The sequence below is a fragment of the Homo sapiens genome, chromosome 10 (assembly GCF_000001405.40).
Source record: "Homo sapiens chromosome 10, GRCh38.p14 Primary Assembly".
In the NCBI taxonomy this organism is placed as follows: domain Eukaryota; kingdom Metazoa; phylum Chordata; class Mammalia; order Primates; family Hominidae; genus Homo; species Homo sapiens.
The window spans coordinates 100323480-100339831 of record NC_000010.11 but is presented as its reverse complement, the minus strand read 5'-3'; the positions used below and the strand labels follow the sequence as shown (position 1 = coordinate 100339831).

General features: G+C 46.8%; 1 protein-coding gene across 2 annotated transcripts in view, besides 2 other annotated features; it reads left to right on the top strand.

The window, feature by feature from the left end:
• Positions 347–416: an enhancer, noted in NCBI's record as "active region_3888". NCBI's record gives its function as "activates an Ori minimal core promoter by ATAC-STARR-seq in GM12878 lymphoblastoid cells {active_cell/tissue: GM12878}" and the evidence as "EXISTENCE:reporter gene assay evidence [ECO:0000049][PMID:35858748]".
• Positions 9604–16352, top strand: part of PKD2L1 (polycystin 2 like 1, transient receptor potential cation channel) — a 42080-nt gene continuing 35331 nt past the window's right edge. The window contains exons 1-2 of one of the 2 annotated variants that reach the window (NM_016112.3): positions 9604–9963; positions 10508–10621. In NM_016112.3, the coding sequence (NP_057196.2) occupies positions 9729–9963; positions 10508–10621 (349 nt within the window). In that variant the 5' untranslated portion in view covers positions 9604–9728. Of the gene's footprint in view, positions 9964–10485; positions 10622–16352 lie in introns of both variants that reach the window. The other variant, NM_001253837.2, reaches the window with a different exon arrangement.
• Positions 12466–12585: an enhancer, noted in NCBI's record as "active region_3887". NCBI's record gives its function as "activates an Ori minimal core promoter by ATAC-STARR-seq in GM12878 lymphoblastoid cells {active_cell/tissue: GM12878}" and the evidence as "EXISTENCE:reporter gene assay evidence [ECO:0000049][PMID:35858748]".

Genomic DNA, 16352 nt, shown 5'->3' with positions numbered 1-16352 from the left:
CTGGCAAAGCTATGGCTGCCTATCGCATAGTTCAGGGAGGTCTATGAGGCTCAGCTGAGTCTGGGACCTCACCACCAACTCTGGCACCAGAGGATAGATGGTCACTTGAGAAACAGGGACCCCAGGAAAGGGATGGGGCCTGGTGCTGGCCAGCTAGCTTCCAGCCAGGGCAGGCTGACACCTGGGATCCGGGCTGAAGCCACCATTCAGGTAATACCATTACCTCCTTCATGTTTTAGGGCTTCTAAGCAAGAAGCAGCCAAAGGCAGAGGAATGGAAATGTAGGGCTTGCTTGGGAGGGTGAGTGTGCCTGAACGCTTCCAGGAGCAGGCACAGAGTCTCATCCAGGGCATGGGAGGAGCCATGATGGAGGGTGGGGTCATGGGGAGAAGGAAATGAAATTGGGAAGTGAAATCAGCACATGAGGTGAGAGATGAAGGTTCAGTTGTCTCCCTGAGAGGTGGAGAGCAGATGTGGCACTTGATAGAAACCCCGGAGGGCTGAGGCTGTCATTTCTCCAAAGGAAGGCATGGAGGCAGTGCGAATGGGCCTCAGAGACCGCAGACTACAGGTAGGGCGGCTGACCAAGATGTTCACCTGGGTCATACTGCCCCAGGCCTGCTCCCACCTAGAGCAGCCTCACCAGTAGCTAAGTGTGGCAGGGATGTGAAGGCAAGCCCATTCTTGGGGGACACAGAACTCCCGATGGCCTGTTGTGGCTCCCAGAAGGTTTCACTGAACCTCTCTTTGACTATGCCACAGCTGCCCTCCCAATCTTCCTACCCTATCTCCTTCACTCAGGCAGGACTTTCCTCACTCTCTGACAGCGCTGTCAGCCTCACTCAGCTCCCTGTTTTCTCTCATAGATGTTTCCCCCATGAAAAACCACACATAGTTGCCCAGCCTTAGTGTCTGCTTCTCAGAGGAGCCAGTTTAATAGGGGCCATTACTAGACCTCTAGAATGATAAAGCCCTATGGGTTTAGGACCTGTTAGCCGGCCCAGATCTGAACCTGCAGAGTTATCCAGAGGGAAAAAAAAAAAAGGTAAGGTATAGGAAGAAGCTGTGGAGAAAAGTGGTCTCTAGATTGAGGCCCCTCTGAAGGCTCAGCCCCTCCAAACTGGATTATCTGCTCTTCTACATCCAGAAAAGAGCAGGCTCTCCATATTGACATATATGGGGCCAGGGTCCTGCTGCCACCCAGTGGCCCTGGTAGGTAAAGCACCTTTGTGGCCTCCCACTGGGTCCTTTGATTCCGCTGGTGAAGGTAGGAGTGAAGAATTTGTTCTGCTGGTTGGGGTTCTCTCCCTCTCTCATTTACAGCATAAATTACAAAAATCCTGACTTCCAAACTTAATTCCCAAACTTTCCTCCTTTAAAATTAAAACCATAGTCGGCTGAGCACTGTGGCCCACCCCTGTAATCCTAGCACTTTGGGAGGCCGAGGTGGGTGGATCACCTGAGGTCAGGAGTTCGAGACAAGCCTGGCCAACATGGCGAAACCTCGTCTCTACTAAAAATACAAAAATTAGCCAGGCATGGTGGCGAGCGCCTATAATCCCAGCTACTCGGGAGGCTGAGGCAGGAGAATCGCTTGAACCCGGGAGGCGGAGGTTGCAGTGGGCCGAGATTGTGCCACTTCACCCCAGCCTGGGCAAAAGAGCAAAACTCTGTCTAAAAAAAAAAAAAGCACCATAGTCACACACATCTGTGAATGTACTACAACCATTGAATTGTCTGTTTTAAGTGGGTGAATTTTATGGCACGTGACTCTATCTCAATAAAGCTGTTTTAAAATCAGCACCATAAGAAGAAGTGGGTGAGGCTTTTAGTACGTGAAGATGAGGATGGTTGTTTCCGTTTCTTAGGATATCCCCAAACCGATATGAAAGAAGGTCACACAGTAGGTACTCAACAGATCTTTAATAAATTACTAGTGTTGTTAAATGGAGCCAGTTTTTTTTTCTTTTTTTTTTTTGTAATTCCTTTTTTTTTTTTTTGAGCCACTTTTTTCATTGCCTCACCACTTACCCTTGAAGCTGTACACCTTCATTCCCCCAAATCTGTAGGCATCAAAAGCCTTCTTACTTTCCAAGGTCACCTGAGATCTTCTAGTCTAAACATCCAAAAGCTTTTCATTGATCAGAACCCTCCTTGAACTTTTTTATTTTTTTGAGATGGAGTTTTACTCTTGTTGCCCAGGCTGGAGTACAATGGCACAATCTCAGCTCACCACAACCTCCGCCTCCTGGGTTCAAGCTATTCTTCTGCCTCAGCCTCCTGACTAGCTGGGATTACAGGCGTGCGCCACCACACCTGGCTGATTTTGTATTTTTAGTAGAGACGGGATTACTCCATGTTGGTCAGGCTGGTCTCGAACTCCCAAAGGTGATCCGGCCCACCTCGGGCTCCCAAAGTGCTGGGATTACAGGTGTGAGCCACCGCGCCTGGGCCCAAAAAGGATCTCTTTAAAGACATGGGGCCAGGTGCGGTGGCTCATGCCTGTAATCCAAGCACTTTGGGAGACTGAGGCGGGAGGATCACTTGAGGCCAGGAGTTTGAGACCAGCCTGGGCAACATGTCGCTACAAAAAATACAAAAATTAGCCAGGTGTGGTGGTATGCCCTGTAGTCGTAGCTATCTGGGAGGCTGAGACAGGAGGATTGCTTAAGCCTGGGATGTTGAGGTTGCAGTGAGCTGCAATTGCACCTCTACACTCCAGCCTGGGCAACAGAGTGGGACTCTGTCTCAAAAAACAAACAAAAAACAAATTTTACTATTTTTCCCACACAGATGACTAGCGGGATATTGATGAAGCTTAAGGTCTCATGCCCAGGATGCTTTCTTATAGGTACGTGATTCCCAATGTCTTCCATTAAGAATCATTGTCATAGTGAGCCATGGTTATTTATGGACTGTGTCCTATGGTTTACACTTACTGAGGTGGAAACGGTTAAGAATCAGTATGTAGTATACAGAAGGTGGTTTGAAGCTTGCCTCTCCCTGTAGAACTTGGAATGTGAATTACCCCAAGATTCTTTTTTTTTTTTTTTTTTTTTTGAGACGGAGTCTCGCTCTGTCACCCAGGCTGGAGTGAGTGGCACAATCTTGGCTCACTGCAAGCTCCGCCTCCCGGGTTCACGCCATTCTCCTGCCTCAGCCTTCTGAGTTGCTGGGACTACAGGCGCCTGCCACCATGCCCGGCTAATTTTTTGCATTTTTAGTAGAGGCAGGGTTTCACCATGTTAGCCAGGATGGTCTCGATCTCCTGACCTTGTGATCTGCCTGCTTCGGCCTCCCAAAGTGCTGGGATTACAGGCGTGAGCCACCGCGCCCGGCCAACCAAGATTCTTTTGTCTGGAATATGGAAGGCAACTTTCCCCAGGGGTTCCTTCAGGAGAACTTACAAGGTCATGGGCCACAAGTTTCCTTCCCATAGACTTTGCTATTTCTGGCTCTTCATTGGAGTGCAGTAGATCTGGGGGTCACTGAAGAAGCTTGTTGGGATGGGCATACTGTGAAAAGGGAGCTCACTGGTGGCAGAAATGGGGTAATCTTCACCCCAGTGTCTACACTTGGACGGCATATTACCAAAAACCACATCCCAGTGAAGCCATGGGACCAATTCGCCAAGTGGGTTAAAAAGCTTCCTGATGAAGCTGAGCGTGGTGGCTCACGCCTGTAATCCCAGGACTCTGGGAGGCCGAGGCCGGCGGATCACAAGGTCAGGAGATCAAGACCATCCTGGCTAACAGGGTGAAACCCCGTCTCTACTAAAAATACAAAAAAATTATCTGGGCATGGTGGCGGGCGCCTGTAGTCCCAGCTGAGGCAGGAGAATGGCGTGAACCCAGGAGGTGGAGGTTGCAGTGAGCCGAGATCACGCCACTGCACTCCAGCCTGGGGCGAGAGAGCGAGACTCCATCTCAAAAAAAAAAAAAAAAAAAAAAAAGCTTCCAGATGAAGAGGTGCTTCTGGCTTTGATGGGCTATAAGGCTTGTCATGTGGTTATAAAATTCATCTAATAGGTGCTGTCACTCAAAGATTACCTTTGGAATTCTCTCCAGGCCAAATGGTATCACTCCATTCTACTGGTGTCAGCTGCTTGAAATAGTGTAGACACAGAGAATTCTGGGACCCGTGTCGCTCAGAAACAATGTCAAAGTCCTGGCTGAAGGTATCTACATTACCCACGAATTGCTGTATATGAGTGGAATGTACAAGCATGGATGCAACAGCAAGAGAACTAAATTTGTTTTGTGCTTCAAAGTACACAGTTTATAAAGACTTCTATATTCTATTATCTAAATCCTAAAACAGTCCTTAAAGTCAGCAGGGCAGGCATTGCTATCAACACTTTGGAGATTTGCAGATAGGTAAACTGAGTCTCAAAAGCGACTTGTTCAGAACCATATACTAGTAAGTTGCTGAGCCCTGCTAAACCCAGGGACTTTATTCACATTTTTTTGTTTGTTTGAGACAGAGTCTTGCTCTGTTGCCCAGGCTGGAGTGCAGTGGCGTGATCTTGGCTCACTGCAACCTCCACTTCCCAGGTACAAGTGATTCTCCTGCCTCAGCCTCCCGAGTAGCTGGAATTATAGGCACATGCCACCATGCCCGGCTAATTTTTGTATTTTTAGTAGAGACAGTGTTTCACCATGTTGGCCAGGCTGGTCTCGAACTCCTGACTTCAGGTGATCTGCCCGCCTCAGTCTCCCAAAGTGTTGGGATTACAGGCATTAGCCACCACGCCCGGCTGACACTGCTTTGTCGATGGCATCGACAAGAGGAAAAGTCAAGTGCCAGTAGGAGCTTGGGGACATGGAGAAAGGTACTGGACACAAGATAATCAGGAGATGCCACTTGATTACCACAGTTGCAATTTCTTGAGCAAGTTTAAACATCATAAGGATGCAGAGAACTTTTTGAGAACATTTCTCAAGCCGTGTTGCATAAGCTGTGCTCCTGGGGCCAATACGGGTTGATCCACACACATGGGGAATGCTTAACCCTAAGCAGGAGAAAGCAATCGGATTTTGCCCAGGTAGGTGACCAAAGGTGAATAAAGCAGTCCACTGGTGGCCTTGAACAATCAGAGATGTGAGACTTGTCACATGATGACCCTCCTTTAGCACAGTCAAACCCCTGCTGATCACAAGCCTCCTCCAGAATCCAAAATTACCCAATGGGAACCATATACCATCTCCTGTTGCTTTTCCTGCTTCTCTGGACCATACTGTTAGCTTCCTGCTCATCAACCCTATCCTAAGGTCCAGTTATGCAAGGCAGGGGTCTTTTTGCAATTATTTAAAAGGCTTGTAGGTGAGAGGTAGTGGCTCCCTTTTCCTTTGTCATCAGCTTATCTAACATAAGGTGGTTGATTCTGGTACAGTTCTTCCTCCTTTTTCTTTTTTTTTTCTGGAGAGTTTCCAAATTTATTGCTTATCAATGGACTCATCTTGGAAATTGAGCTGTAAAACACCAGGATAGAGGATAGTCTTGGTTGCCAAATCTGTTCCCCCACCAGGGCAGTGTTGTATACTTCCAAAACTTTCTAGGTCTCCTCCAAATGACTCAAGGGATGGGAATTTCACCACCTCTCATGGGAGGTTGTTTTATAGCCTCTTACATCTTACCCATGATGAAAGTTCTGATGAAACATTTTTTTCCCCTTTGGTTCATTCATTACCCTTAGATAATCCCCTAAAGAGCACCTTCACAATCCCTCTCCTTCTTTGGGGCTTATGCCTTCAACTATCTGCACATGGCTGTCAGGACCCCATCCCACACACATGCATCTGCACATGGCTGTCAGGACCCCATCCCACACACATGCACCTGCACTCCTTAGCTCTTCAGCCAGGCCTACCCACATACAGTTCTTTTCATCTTTCCTCATACATCAAAACCTCAAGTGAATTGGAAGCGGGATTATGGCTCTCTTCTCAAGATTTTCTCACGTCAGCTGCATCCCTTCTCCTCAACCACATGCCAGGTTTGTGTATGCCAATAGCCATTCACCAATGGAAATGAGGTTTTTCTGGAATGCTGTGTTCTATAGTTAAAAAAAAAAAAGATTCCTCCTACCCATAGCTTATATCTAGGTTGGATCAATATTTATACAAACTATAATAAGGAGGAAAAATCTAAAAGAAGTCTGGGACTACCTTAAATCTCCAACCCCCCAAGAAACATTTAAACTACAAATAAAAATCTCAAAATAATATATTTCCCTTAAACATAGGCTATGAATTAATAAAATAAATTCAATCACCTTTTGGTAAAGGAAGCATGAAAAGATTGACTACTCATTTCTTTATGGATGAAAAATTAGCATGGATGAGTGCCCCAAATGAAAAAGAACCCTTCCTTTTCTTCTTATTTTGTCATTTCCTTCCCACTGACTTGGTCAGAAGCCACCTCCTTTTGTTCTTCAACCACTCTGAATAGCTGGTAGTTTCCATGGTCTCTGAAGGGATTCACGCACACCACAGTTCTCGGCGGCAATAGGGACCACCAGAGGTCCTCACCCTCGTTATGCAACCTCAGGCCTTCCCCCTCCTCTGTTTTCTCCCAACTGCACTAAGGGCCAGTCTTCTACAACCCTAGGGGCATCACAGACATCTTCAGAGCCCCAAGACCCCACCTATCATTCCTATGCTTAGAAGGAACCTCTTCTTTTCCAAACCTTCCCATCCAAACCTGATGGGGCTCTTCCTTCCCAAACCTCGCCCATCCATCAAGATCTAGCTTCTGTTTCATTTCCTCCAGAGGAAGCTTCCTTTTCCCCTAAACTTCATAATGTTTAGTGTCTATACCATTAAAATAGGCTACCTCACATTATTCATGCCTCCATTTGCTGCTGCTGCTTTTTTTTTTTTTTTTTTTTGAAACAAGCTCTTTCTCTGTCACCAAGGCTGGAGTGCAATGGCATGAACACGGCTCACTGCAGCCCTGACCTCCCGGGCTCAAGCAATCCTCCTGCCTCAGCCTCCTGTGTATTTGGGATCACAGACATGCATTACCATGCCCAGCTAATTTTTTGATTTTTTTGTAGAGACAGGGTCTCACTTTGTTGCCCAGGCTGGTCTTGAACTCCTAGTCTCAAGCTCGGCCTCCCAAAGTGCTGATGTTAGCCACTGTGCCTGGCCCATTTGCTCCATTTTTTAAAGTTTTATTTTATTTTTAATTGATAAATAATAATTCTATATACTTATGAGGTACAATGTGACATTTTGATACATGTATACATTGTGGAGTGATCAAATCAGGTGAATTAGCATATTCATTACTTCAAATATTTATCATTTCTTTGTAGTAAGAACTTTTTAAATCCTCTCTGTTAGCTATTTTGAAGTACACAGTACCTCATTATCAACTGTAGTCACCACACTGTGCAACAGAACAACAGAACATATTTCTCTTGCCTGATTGAAAGCTTTTATCCATCGACCACTCTCTTCCCCTCTCACACACCCCTCACCCCCAGCCTCTGGTAACCACCATTCTACTCTCTACTTCTACGAGTTCAATTTTTTTAGTTTCCACATATAAGTGAGAGCATAGGGCATCTGTCTCATTATGCCTGGCTTATTTCACTTAACATAATGTTCTCTAGGTTTATCTATGTTGTCGTAAATGACAGAATTTTCTGTGTTTTTTTTTTCAAGGCTGAATATATTATATTGTGCATATATACCACATCTTTTAAATCCTTTCGTCAGTTGATGGATACTTAGATTGTTTCCATATCTTGGCTATTATTAATAATCCTGCAATGAACATGGGAGAGGAGACATCTATTCAACACACTGATTTCAATTCCTTTGAGATTCTTGGAACATATGGTAATTCTATTTTTAGTTTTTTGAGGAACCTCCATACTGTTTTCCAAGATGTCCGTACTAATTTACAATACAGCCAAGCATACAAGGGGCCCCTTTTCTCCACAGCCTTGCCAACACTTGTTATCTTTCTTTCTTTCTTTTTTCTTGAGACAGGGTCTTGCTCTGTTGCTCAGGCTGGAGTGCAGTGGTGTGATTTCAGCTGACTGCAGCCTCAACGCCTCAGCCTCCCCAGCTCAAGTGGTTCTCCCACCCCAGCCACCTGAGTAGCAGCTGGGACTACATGCACGCACCCCATGCCTGGCTAATTTTTGTTGTTTTGTTGTTGTTTTGTAGAGGCGGTGTTTCACCATGTTGCCCGGGCTGGTCTTGAACTCCTGAGCTCAAGTGATCCTCCTGCCCTGGCCTCCCAAAGTGCTGGAATTACAGGTGTGGGCAACCACACCCAGCCAAGATCTCTTTATAGGGACACTCAAGACTGATTATTTTGACAAGGCTGATGTTTTGCTGAATGTGAAGGTGGGCTTCAGGCCAGTGAGTAGCCCTGGGTGGGGAGCCAGGAGTTAGGAGAGGAAAGTCTCTGCTCTAGCCTCAAGGAGGAGAAACTGCAGGGTGACCACCACAACCTGTGGGATCAGCCCCATTCTGGGGCATCATGCATGCCTATAGGGGAGCTGGAGCAGGTGATCAGAAGCTGGAGCAGGGCATAGGCAGGGATGTGCTTGGGGGCCCATGACACAGTTTTAATTCAGAGACCTGCAGTTATAAAGAAAGCAGATTAATCCTGATATCATGGATAGTTCCACTTTGTGCTCAAGTTTACGATTCTAGGCCCAGGACTAAGCAGAGCCATGGGAAAAGGTTCCCAGCTCAGCTGGGTCCAGATATCCACTCCCCTTTAGTCCCACATCATACTGTCCTTGTCCTTTGTTCTCCGATCCAGCCTCCCAACCAGGTCTTAGCCTTTTTCCCATACTGAGCCCCACACCCTTAAGGAACCCCCTCTCTTGGTGTATCTCACCTGTAAGCCATGGAAAGGCAAGCTTCAGAACAAGGAATATAGACAACCTAGGACTCTGTGGTCCTCTCCCCTGCCCCCTCAGTGCCCTGAAGTATGTGAGACTGGGGTTCCTCCTGCCACTGTCCTTTCCCCACGGCTGAGAGGGTGAAGTGAGGGAAGGGAGCTGCCCATCTCTGCTCCACCAGGGGACAGCTGAAGGTGAGACAGGACAGGAGCCTCAGACCCATTGACTGAACCTGGGAGGTGGGCAGAGCCTGGGAGGGGGACAGCGCTCTTCAGCTTTCCTCCCAGCCTTGGTCCCCACCCCAATCCATGTCGGCCCTTTTAGGAGCTTTTAGTGGAAATGAGCTCAGACCCGCAGCACAGGCCCCCGGCTCCCCTCCTGTCTCAGCTCCTCCCATTGCTCTTTGATCGTCTCTTCTGTCCGACCTCTGGGCCATCTCTCCACCAGGCACATCTGCGAGCAGCCCCCTTCATCCCCAGCATCGCCTTTTCCTCCCGTTTCTCCTTCCACTCCCAGCTCCACATCCTCCTCCTATTCTCCCCTCTCCCCTCTTCAAACCCCCACCTTCCAGTTCCCTCACCTCCCCTTTCGGCTGGTCCCCTGGGGCTTGCAGCAAGAGGGAGAGAGAGCTCCTGACAGGATTGATGGTCCTTCCCCACCCTGTCCTCTCATCCGCTCCCTCCCCAGCAGGCACAGACATCCCCCTACAAAAGGCAGGAGCCCAGGCTGTGTGGAAACAGCTGCTCTCAGACGCCTTTCCATTTGCTCTCTGCTGGCTAGGCTGGGCTGTGCCTCTGCTCCCTCTTCCTCTAGCTGAGAGTGGGCACCTGGGGTACCGGGCCCCCCCACCTCATTCCCCATGAATGCTGTGGGAAGTCCTGAGGGGCAGGAGCTGCAAAAGCTGGGGAGTGGAGCCTGGGACAACCCCGCCTACAGTGGTCCCCCTTCCCCACACGGGACGCTGAGAGTCTGCACCATCTCCAGCACGGGGCCTCTCCAGCCCCAACCCAAGAAGCCTGAAGATGAACCCCAGGAGACGGCATACAGGACCCAGGTGTCCAGCTGCTGCCTCCATATCTGTCAAGGCATCAGAGGTACCAGATAGGGGGACAGTTCTCCTGGGATATTAGAATCAGGAGGAGTCACCAAAAGCTTTTGGGCAGGGGGTGGGGGTGGAATGTGATCTGAAGAAGAGGTGACCTTTCGGTGTCACTTTGGGGTGTATGAATTGCCCATGGTAGTGCTGCATGACCCAGAACACAGAGGCCAGCTGAGCGGTCTACCGGTTGTGGGAGCCTGGCATGGTCATCACCTGGGGATCCAGAGAGGTATGTGGGAGCTGGTTTGAGGGAGGACATGGATGTGATGATGCCCTAGACTACCCCACCTGGAACAGGTGCCTCCTTTCCATGCCTTCATTCTCTACAAGCCAGGGCCTTCACCCCTGTCGACCTCAGGGAGCTGATGGGAAGAGCAAGCATGGGTGTGGGTACAGTAGCCAGATTCAGCCAAGGATGAAGGTGATGGGCAAGGAAGGGCAGGGGTGGAAAGGGGCTAAAGTCCAGAGACAGATGGGTGGGGATGACTGGGAGGAACACTGCCACTGAGCATCCCAGGCATCTCTCCCATGCCCCTTAGGACTTTGGGGAACAACCCTGACTGAGAACACAGCTGAGAACCGGGAACTTTATATCAAGACCACCCTGAGGGAGCTGTTGGTATATATTGTGTTCCTGGTGGACATCTGTCTACGTGAGTAGCATCTGTGTTTGTGTACATCTGTCTGTGAGAAACATCTATGTGTGCACTATATGTATAAACATTCCTGTGGGCAACATCTGTGGAGCGAGCATCTATCTGTGTAAGCAGGCTATATCCGGGAACTTTAGATAACAATATTCCAATCCCATCTATTTACCTTTGCAGCTTAAGATATTTTGTTTAAAAGGAATTTGTCAGTAGAGGAAGGCAGTTTGGTCAAGAATTACAAGGGGAAACCAGTTTTTGGCAGCCATTGTTTTCTATTGGCTGAAAAGGTGAAAGGTGAAAATATTTTACCCTTCTGTAGAGAGTGGGCTGGCACGGTGGCTCACGCCTGTAATCCCAGCACTTTGGGAGGCCGAAGTGGGCACATCACCTGAGGTCAGGAGTTTTGAGACCAGCTTGGCCAACATGGCGAAACCCTGTCTCTACTAAAAATACAAAAATTAGCTGGGTGGCAGGTGCCTGTAATCCCAGCTACTCAGGAGGCTGAGGCAGGAGAATCGCTTAAACCCAGGAGCAGAGGTTGCAGTGAGCCAAGATCGTGCCACTACACTCCAGCCTGGGGGACAGAGCAAGACTCTGTCTCTCTGTCTCCAAAAAAAAAAAAGAGTGGAAAACCACTCCCTTCTGTTTGGAAAGATAGTTTGGTGGGCTTCACGTAGTTATTATACTATATCCGATGCATGTTTCTTTAGAGGCAGAGAAAAAGATGGAAGAAAAAAGAGAGGAAGTAAAAGATCCAGGCGACCTTAGATCTCAGATCCCTGTTAAGAGAGGGAGGGAAACACATGGTATGGTGATGGTCCCATGTGAGAGACCACCATGTCACATGCCATTGGAGGAAGCTTATTGAGGCTCTAGCTATAGACACAAACTGAGAAATTTTGATCTCTAAGTTGAGAGAAGCAAGTGAAAAGATAGGAGGGCGACTGTGGGAAGATAGAGTCAAAGAACCGTAAATAATAATAAAATTGGACCAAACAGATGCTATTAGACTTGTAGGTAATGACAGCAACTTTGTATTTGGTTTATTACTTCTTTCAAAAGTTGCACAAGTGATGTTTGCCTAGTTTAATATAGTTGTGTGTGGGGTTGTGTTTTGATTAAAGCTGTAGGTTGAATCGTACAACTAAGATGCCCTCATTAGTAGGTGTTCTAGGCTCCGCAATACTCTGTTCTTGTCAGGGTGCATAAATCTTTTGAAAGTGGAGTCAAAGAGTCTCATAACATTAATGTTGATGAAATGTTGTCTTATTTTTTGAGCCACCCACATTTGTGCAAGCCCTCTAGGAAAGCTGGCAGAAAGCACTTTGTTCTGGCTGTGCTCTATCGGAACTCATTCCATGCTGGACAGAGGGGACAGTCCTCTGTGTTTGTCACTGGCCACTCTGCAGGGAGTGAAAGGACACAGTGCATGTGAGGAACAACGGCCGGCCCAATGTACATATTGTGGGGCCCTTTCAATTCCTTTCAGCAAATGGCTGTCAGAAATTCATTTGTTGACGTATCGATTATTTTTGTCCTAACCATCTGCTAGCAAGGAGAAGTCATCTCCTTTTTCAGATCCCGTGACAGCAGCTGAAACCCACAGGCAGAGCCTTTCTCTATAAATGACTTAAACGTCTCTCTTTCCAGATTAGCCTCTGGAACAGGACTGTTTCTAGCTCCCCAGAGTTACAGTGAACCATTTCTAACTCCATTGTATGGAGCTGGAAAGGGTGGAAGCTTGGGTTCTGGAAGTCCAGGAGTCCAATCCACTCATGTTCTCTGCTTTCTAAGATCTCAGTGCACTGATGCATTGCCAGATGGTCTGTGACTTGCCAAAATCTGAGTCACAGGCTTCGTTCAGTAATTACAGAGTCCTTGAGCAGACAGGGGTTTAGAGCTCATCTAATTTTAGGATGCAGAATACGTGGAATCCTTTCTCTGTGATCCTTCCCATGGTGCTCTGTCAGGTGGCCAACCAGCCCAACCTGGGGAGTGTCAGCGGGGCTGTCACTGTTTCATGAGGCAACCCATTCTACTATTGGGCAGCTCTGTTTCCTTCCTCTTATGGAGCCACCTCCTCTGAGCCAGACGTTGGACTGAGAAACACATAGATAACAGACACTTGGGCCTTTCCCCTCAGAGGCTCACTTCCTTTTCAGAACTTTCTTCTATTAAGCCAACTACTGAGGTGTTCCTGTTACTCTCTGAAGTGACAACCTTTCAACTGTTTGAATGAATATAGCTTGCCCTTGGTCATCTGTTCTCTAGGTTAAATAACTTCTATTTTATCATGGTACTTTTCTTAAACTAGTCATTCATAATACTATGGTTTTCAGAGATGGTATTATGTAGGGATTGAAGGCATGGGCTCCAAATTTGCACAGGTTTGGGTCAAACACTGTGCACTGCCATTCACCATCTGAGGGCCCTCAAGCAATTTGCTTAACTTCTTTGAATTTCAGTTTCCTCATCGTACTTACCCAATCCAATAGGATTATGTGAGATAATAGCCATGAAATCATCAACTCAGTGCCTGGCATATATTAAAAGCAATTTCAGAATGCTCTCCATACTGGTTGCCTGCCTGCAGACTTCATCTATGTGATGCCTGGCACTGGACAAAATATGCCACGGACAATCTGACCAGCACAGAGTACTGTGATGCCATTATTTCTGTTGTACCCAGATTTGGGGGATCTGTGAGGAAATGCAGAGGAAGTGATATCGGAGCTAAAACCTGAGAGATATGGAGGATTTATCCCCTTGAAAGGGAGGTGAATAGAAAGAAAGTCTCTGGGAAGAGGGGAGAGCATGTGCCAAGGCCCAAAAGGGACAGAGGGCACAGTTTGGTTAAAGTGCATCAACGTGGCTGGAGCAGAGAGTTTGAGAAGCAAAGTGGTAAAAGACGACAAGTCTGGCCTTATAAGAAGGGGCCGATCATGAGGGGCCTTATAAGGCATGAGAAAGAATTTGGACTTTATTCTGAGGGGGACAGGGAGAGCTATTGAAAAGTTTTAAGCATAGGAGTGACATGACAAATTTTAAGTTCTCCTGAGGAGAGGGCAGAAGTATAAACCTTGGGTCACAGAGGTATCTCTGGGAAAGTTGAGTAGGGGAGATGATAGTCCTGTGCTAAGGATATTAATGGGATTTTTAAAAACAAAAACCTTACCAGGGCCACTGAGTCAATCTGGTGGCAGTATAGCATGCTGGTTAAGCAGTGAGGCTCTGAAGTCGACTATGTGGGTTCAAGGTCTGGCGCTTCCCCAATTATCAGCTGTGTGATCCTGAGCAAGTTTGCTAACCTCTCTTATCCTTGGACAATGATCATACCCACCTGAGAAGATTCTTAAGCAGGTTAAATAAAATAGCTCACTAATATGCTTAGCACAGTGTCTGTCTGGCACATGGTAAATAGTGCCTATTGTCTTCAAGTCACAGCAGGCACTGTAAAACTATAAATGTGGCATCATAACCCAGCCAGCAGTGGAGGGTGAGGAAGGAAGAATTAATCTGATACCTTTAAACCTCGGAAAACCTCCAAGTCCTGTGGAATTGCACTCTTAATAAAGACCCTGAAATCCTTAGACTACCTGAAAATGTGCCATTTAACTGCCTTGGGCCTTGAGAATTAAAGTCCGCACCCACAAAGTGCCGGCCCCACAAGAACTTTTTATGAAAGAGAATTAGGAGGCCTTCACATTCTGATGATTCCTACGACATCTAGTAAGATAATACTAATACTAGTTTCCTAGCCCCTGCCTCTACCTGCCTCTTCCTTTCAGACATATTTTCAGGCGACATGGAGCCTTGGAATGGCCTCAGGAGGGCCACTTCGGTGCTCTCCAAGGTCCTGGCCTCACCCCGCTGATGTCTCAGCTCTCCATTAGGCTCCCTGAGCTCTGGCCAACTGCATCTAGACCATAGGTTCTCAGTGGGGACGATGTAGCCCCCAAGAGTGTAAAAATAGTTTCTCCAAGGGCAAAAAGAATGCTTTAGGTATTACAATGGCTTTTGGGCCACTGAAGAGTCACGGTACATAAGCAAATGTAGAGTCTGTCTGCAGTATCGGAATTGGGAGTGATTAGGAAGAAAATGTCTAAAGAGACTTTTGGGGAGACGGATAATGCAAAAAAGGTTAAGAAACACTGAACCAGATCCACTTAATTTGGCTAGTCAGTATGCTGACTGAGCTCTCCTGCCTAAGGATTGGGAATACACGTTATAAGCCTGAAAGCTGGCACCAAGCGGGGTGGCTGTTGTGTTGCTCTATCAGGATGCTGTTTTCTAAGAACTGGAGTGACGTGCAGTTGGACATGCAGCTGTGCCAGTGTGCTTTTCCATGTCAGTTCCCATGACCGGGTTCAAATGCTCCAGGACCTGTGTTTATTATTAGGTAAACACAGTGGCATGATGAAAACATAAAAACATTGGAGTCAGACACACTGGATTCAAATACTAGCTCCTCTACTTCCTGGCTTTGTGACCTTGAACAATTGTTCTACCAATAAGGATAATAACATTTATCTTCTGGAGATAACATGCATAAAGAACCAAACACAATCACTGGTAGTAGTTATCTTTGTATTATCTAGTCGAAAATCAAAACCCTCACCTGGTCCTCTAGACTGTTCATTAAAAAAATACCTTTCAAGAGAGAAGCCAATCTGAAAAGGTTACATACTGTGTAATTCCAACTATATGCCATGGTGGAAAAGACAGAACTATGGAGATACTAAAAGTTGTCAGTGGCTTCCAGGGGTTGGGGAAAGAGAAGGACGAATAGGTAAAGCACAGAGGATTTTTAGGGCAGTGAAACTACTCTGTATGGTGAATACCTGTCATTTTACGTAAAACCCACACAATGTACAATACCAAGAGTAAAACCTAAGGTACACTGTGGACTTCAGGTAATAGTCATGTGTCAATGTAGGTCCATTGTATAACAAAGGTACCACCCTGGTGTTGGATGTTGATAGCAGGGGAGGCTGTACTTATGTGAGGACAGGGGATCTATGGGAAATCTCTGCACCTTTCATTCAATTTTGCTGTGAACCTAAAATTACTCTAAAAAAATAAAGTGGGCTGGGCACGGTGGCTCATGCCTGTAATCCCAGCACTTTGGGAGACTGAACTGGACAGACTGCCTGAGGCCAGGAGTTCGAGACCAGCCTGGCCAACATGGTGAAACCCCATCTCTATTAAAAATACAAAAATTAGCCAGGCGTGATGGCGGGCACCTGTAATCCCAGCTACTCAGGAGGCTGAGACAGGAGAATCACTTGAACCTGGGAGGCGGAGGTTGCAGTGAGCTGAGATCATGCCACTGCCCTCCAGACTGGGTGACAGAGAAAGACTCTGTCTCAAAAAATAAATAAATAAATAAATAAAGTTTATCTTAAAAAGTGTATTAAAAACAACTTTTCAGTGCTGCTTGTGGAAACTTGGAAAAAATAACTTTCATGATTGCAGTTAATAATAATGTATTATATCTTTCAAAATAGCTAAAAGAGATGATTTTAAATATTCTCAACACAAAGAAACATTTGAGATGATGGATATGTTAATTAGCCTGATTTGATCATTCCATGATGTATACATCTGAAGAAACATTACATTGCACCCCATAAAGATACAGAGTGAGCCGGGCGCCGTGGCTCATGCCTGTAATCCCAGAACTTCGGCAGACCGAGGCGGGTGGACCACCTGAGATCAGGAGTTCGAGACCAGC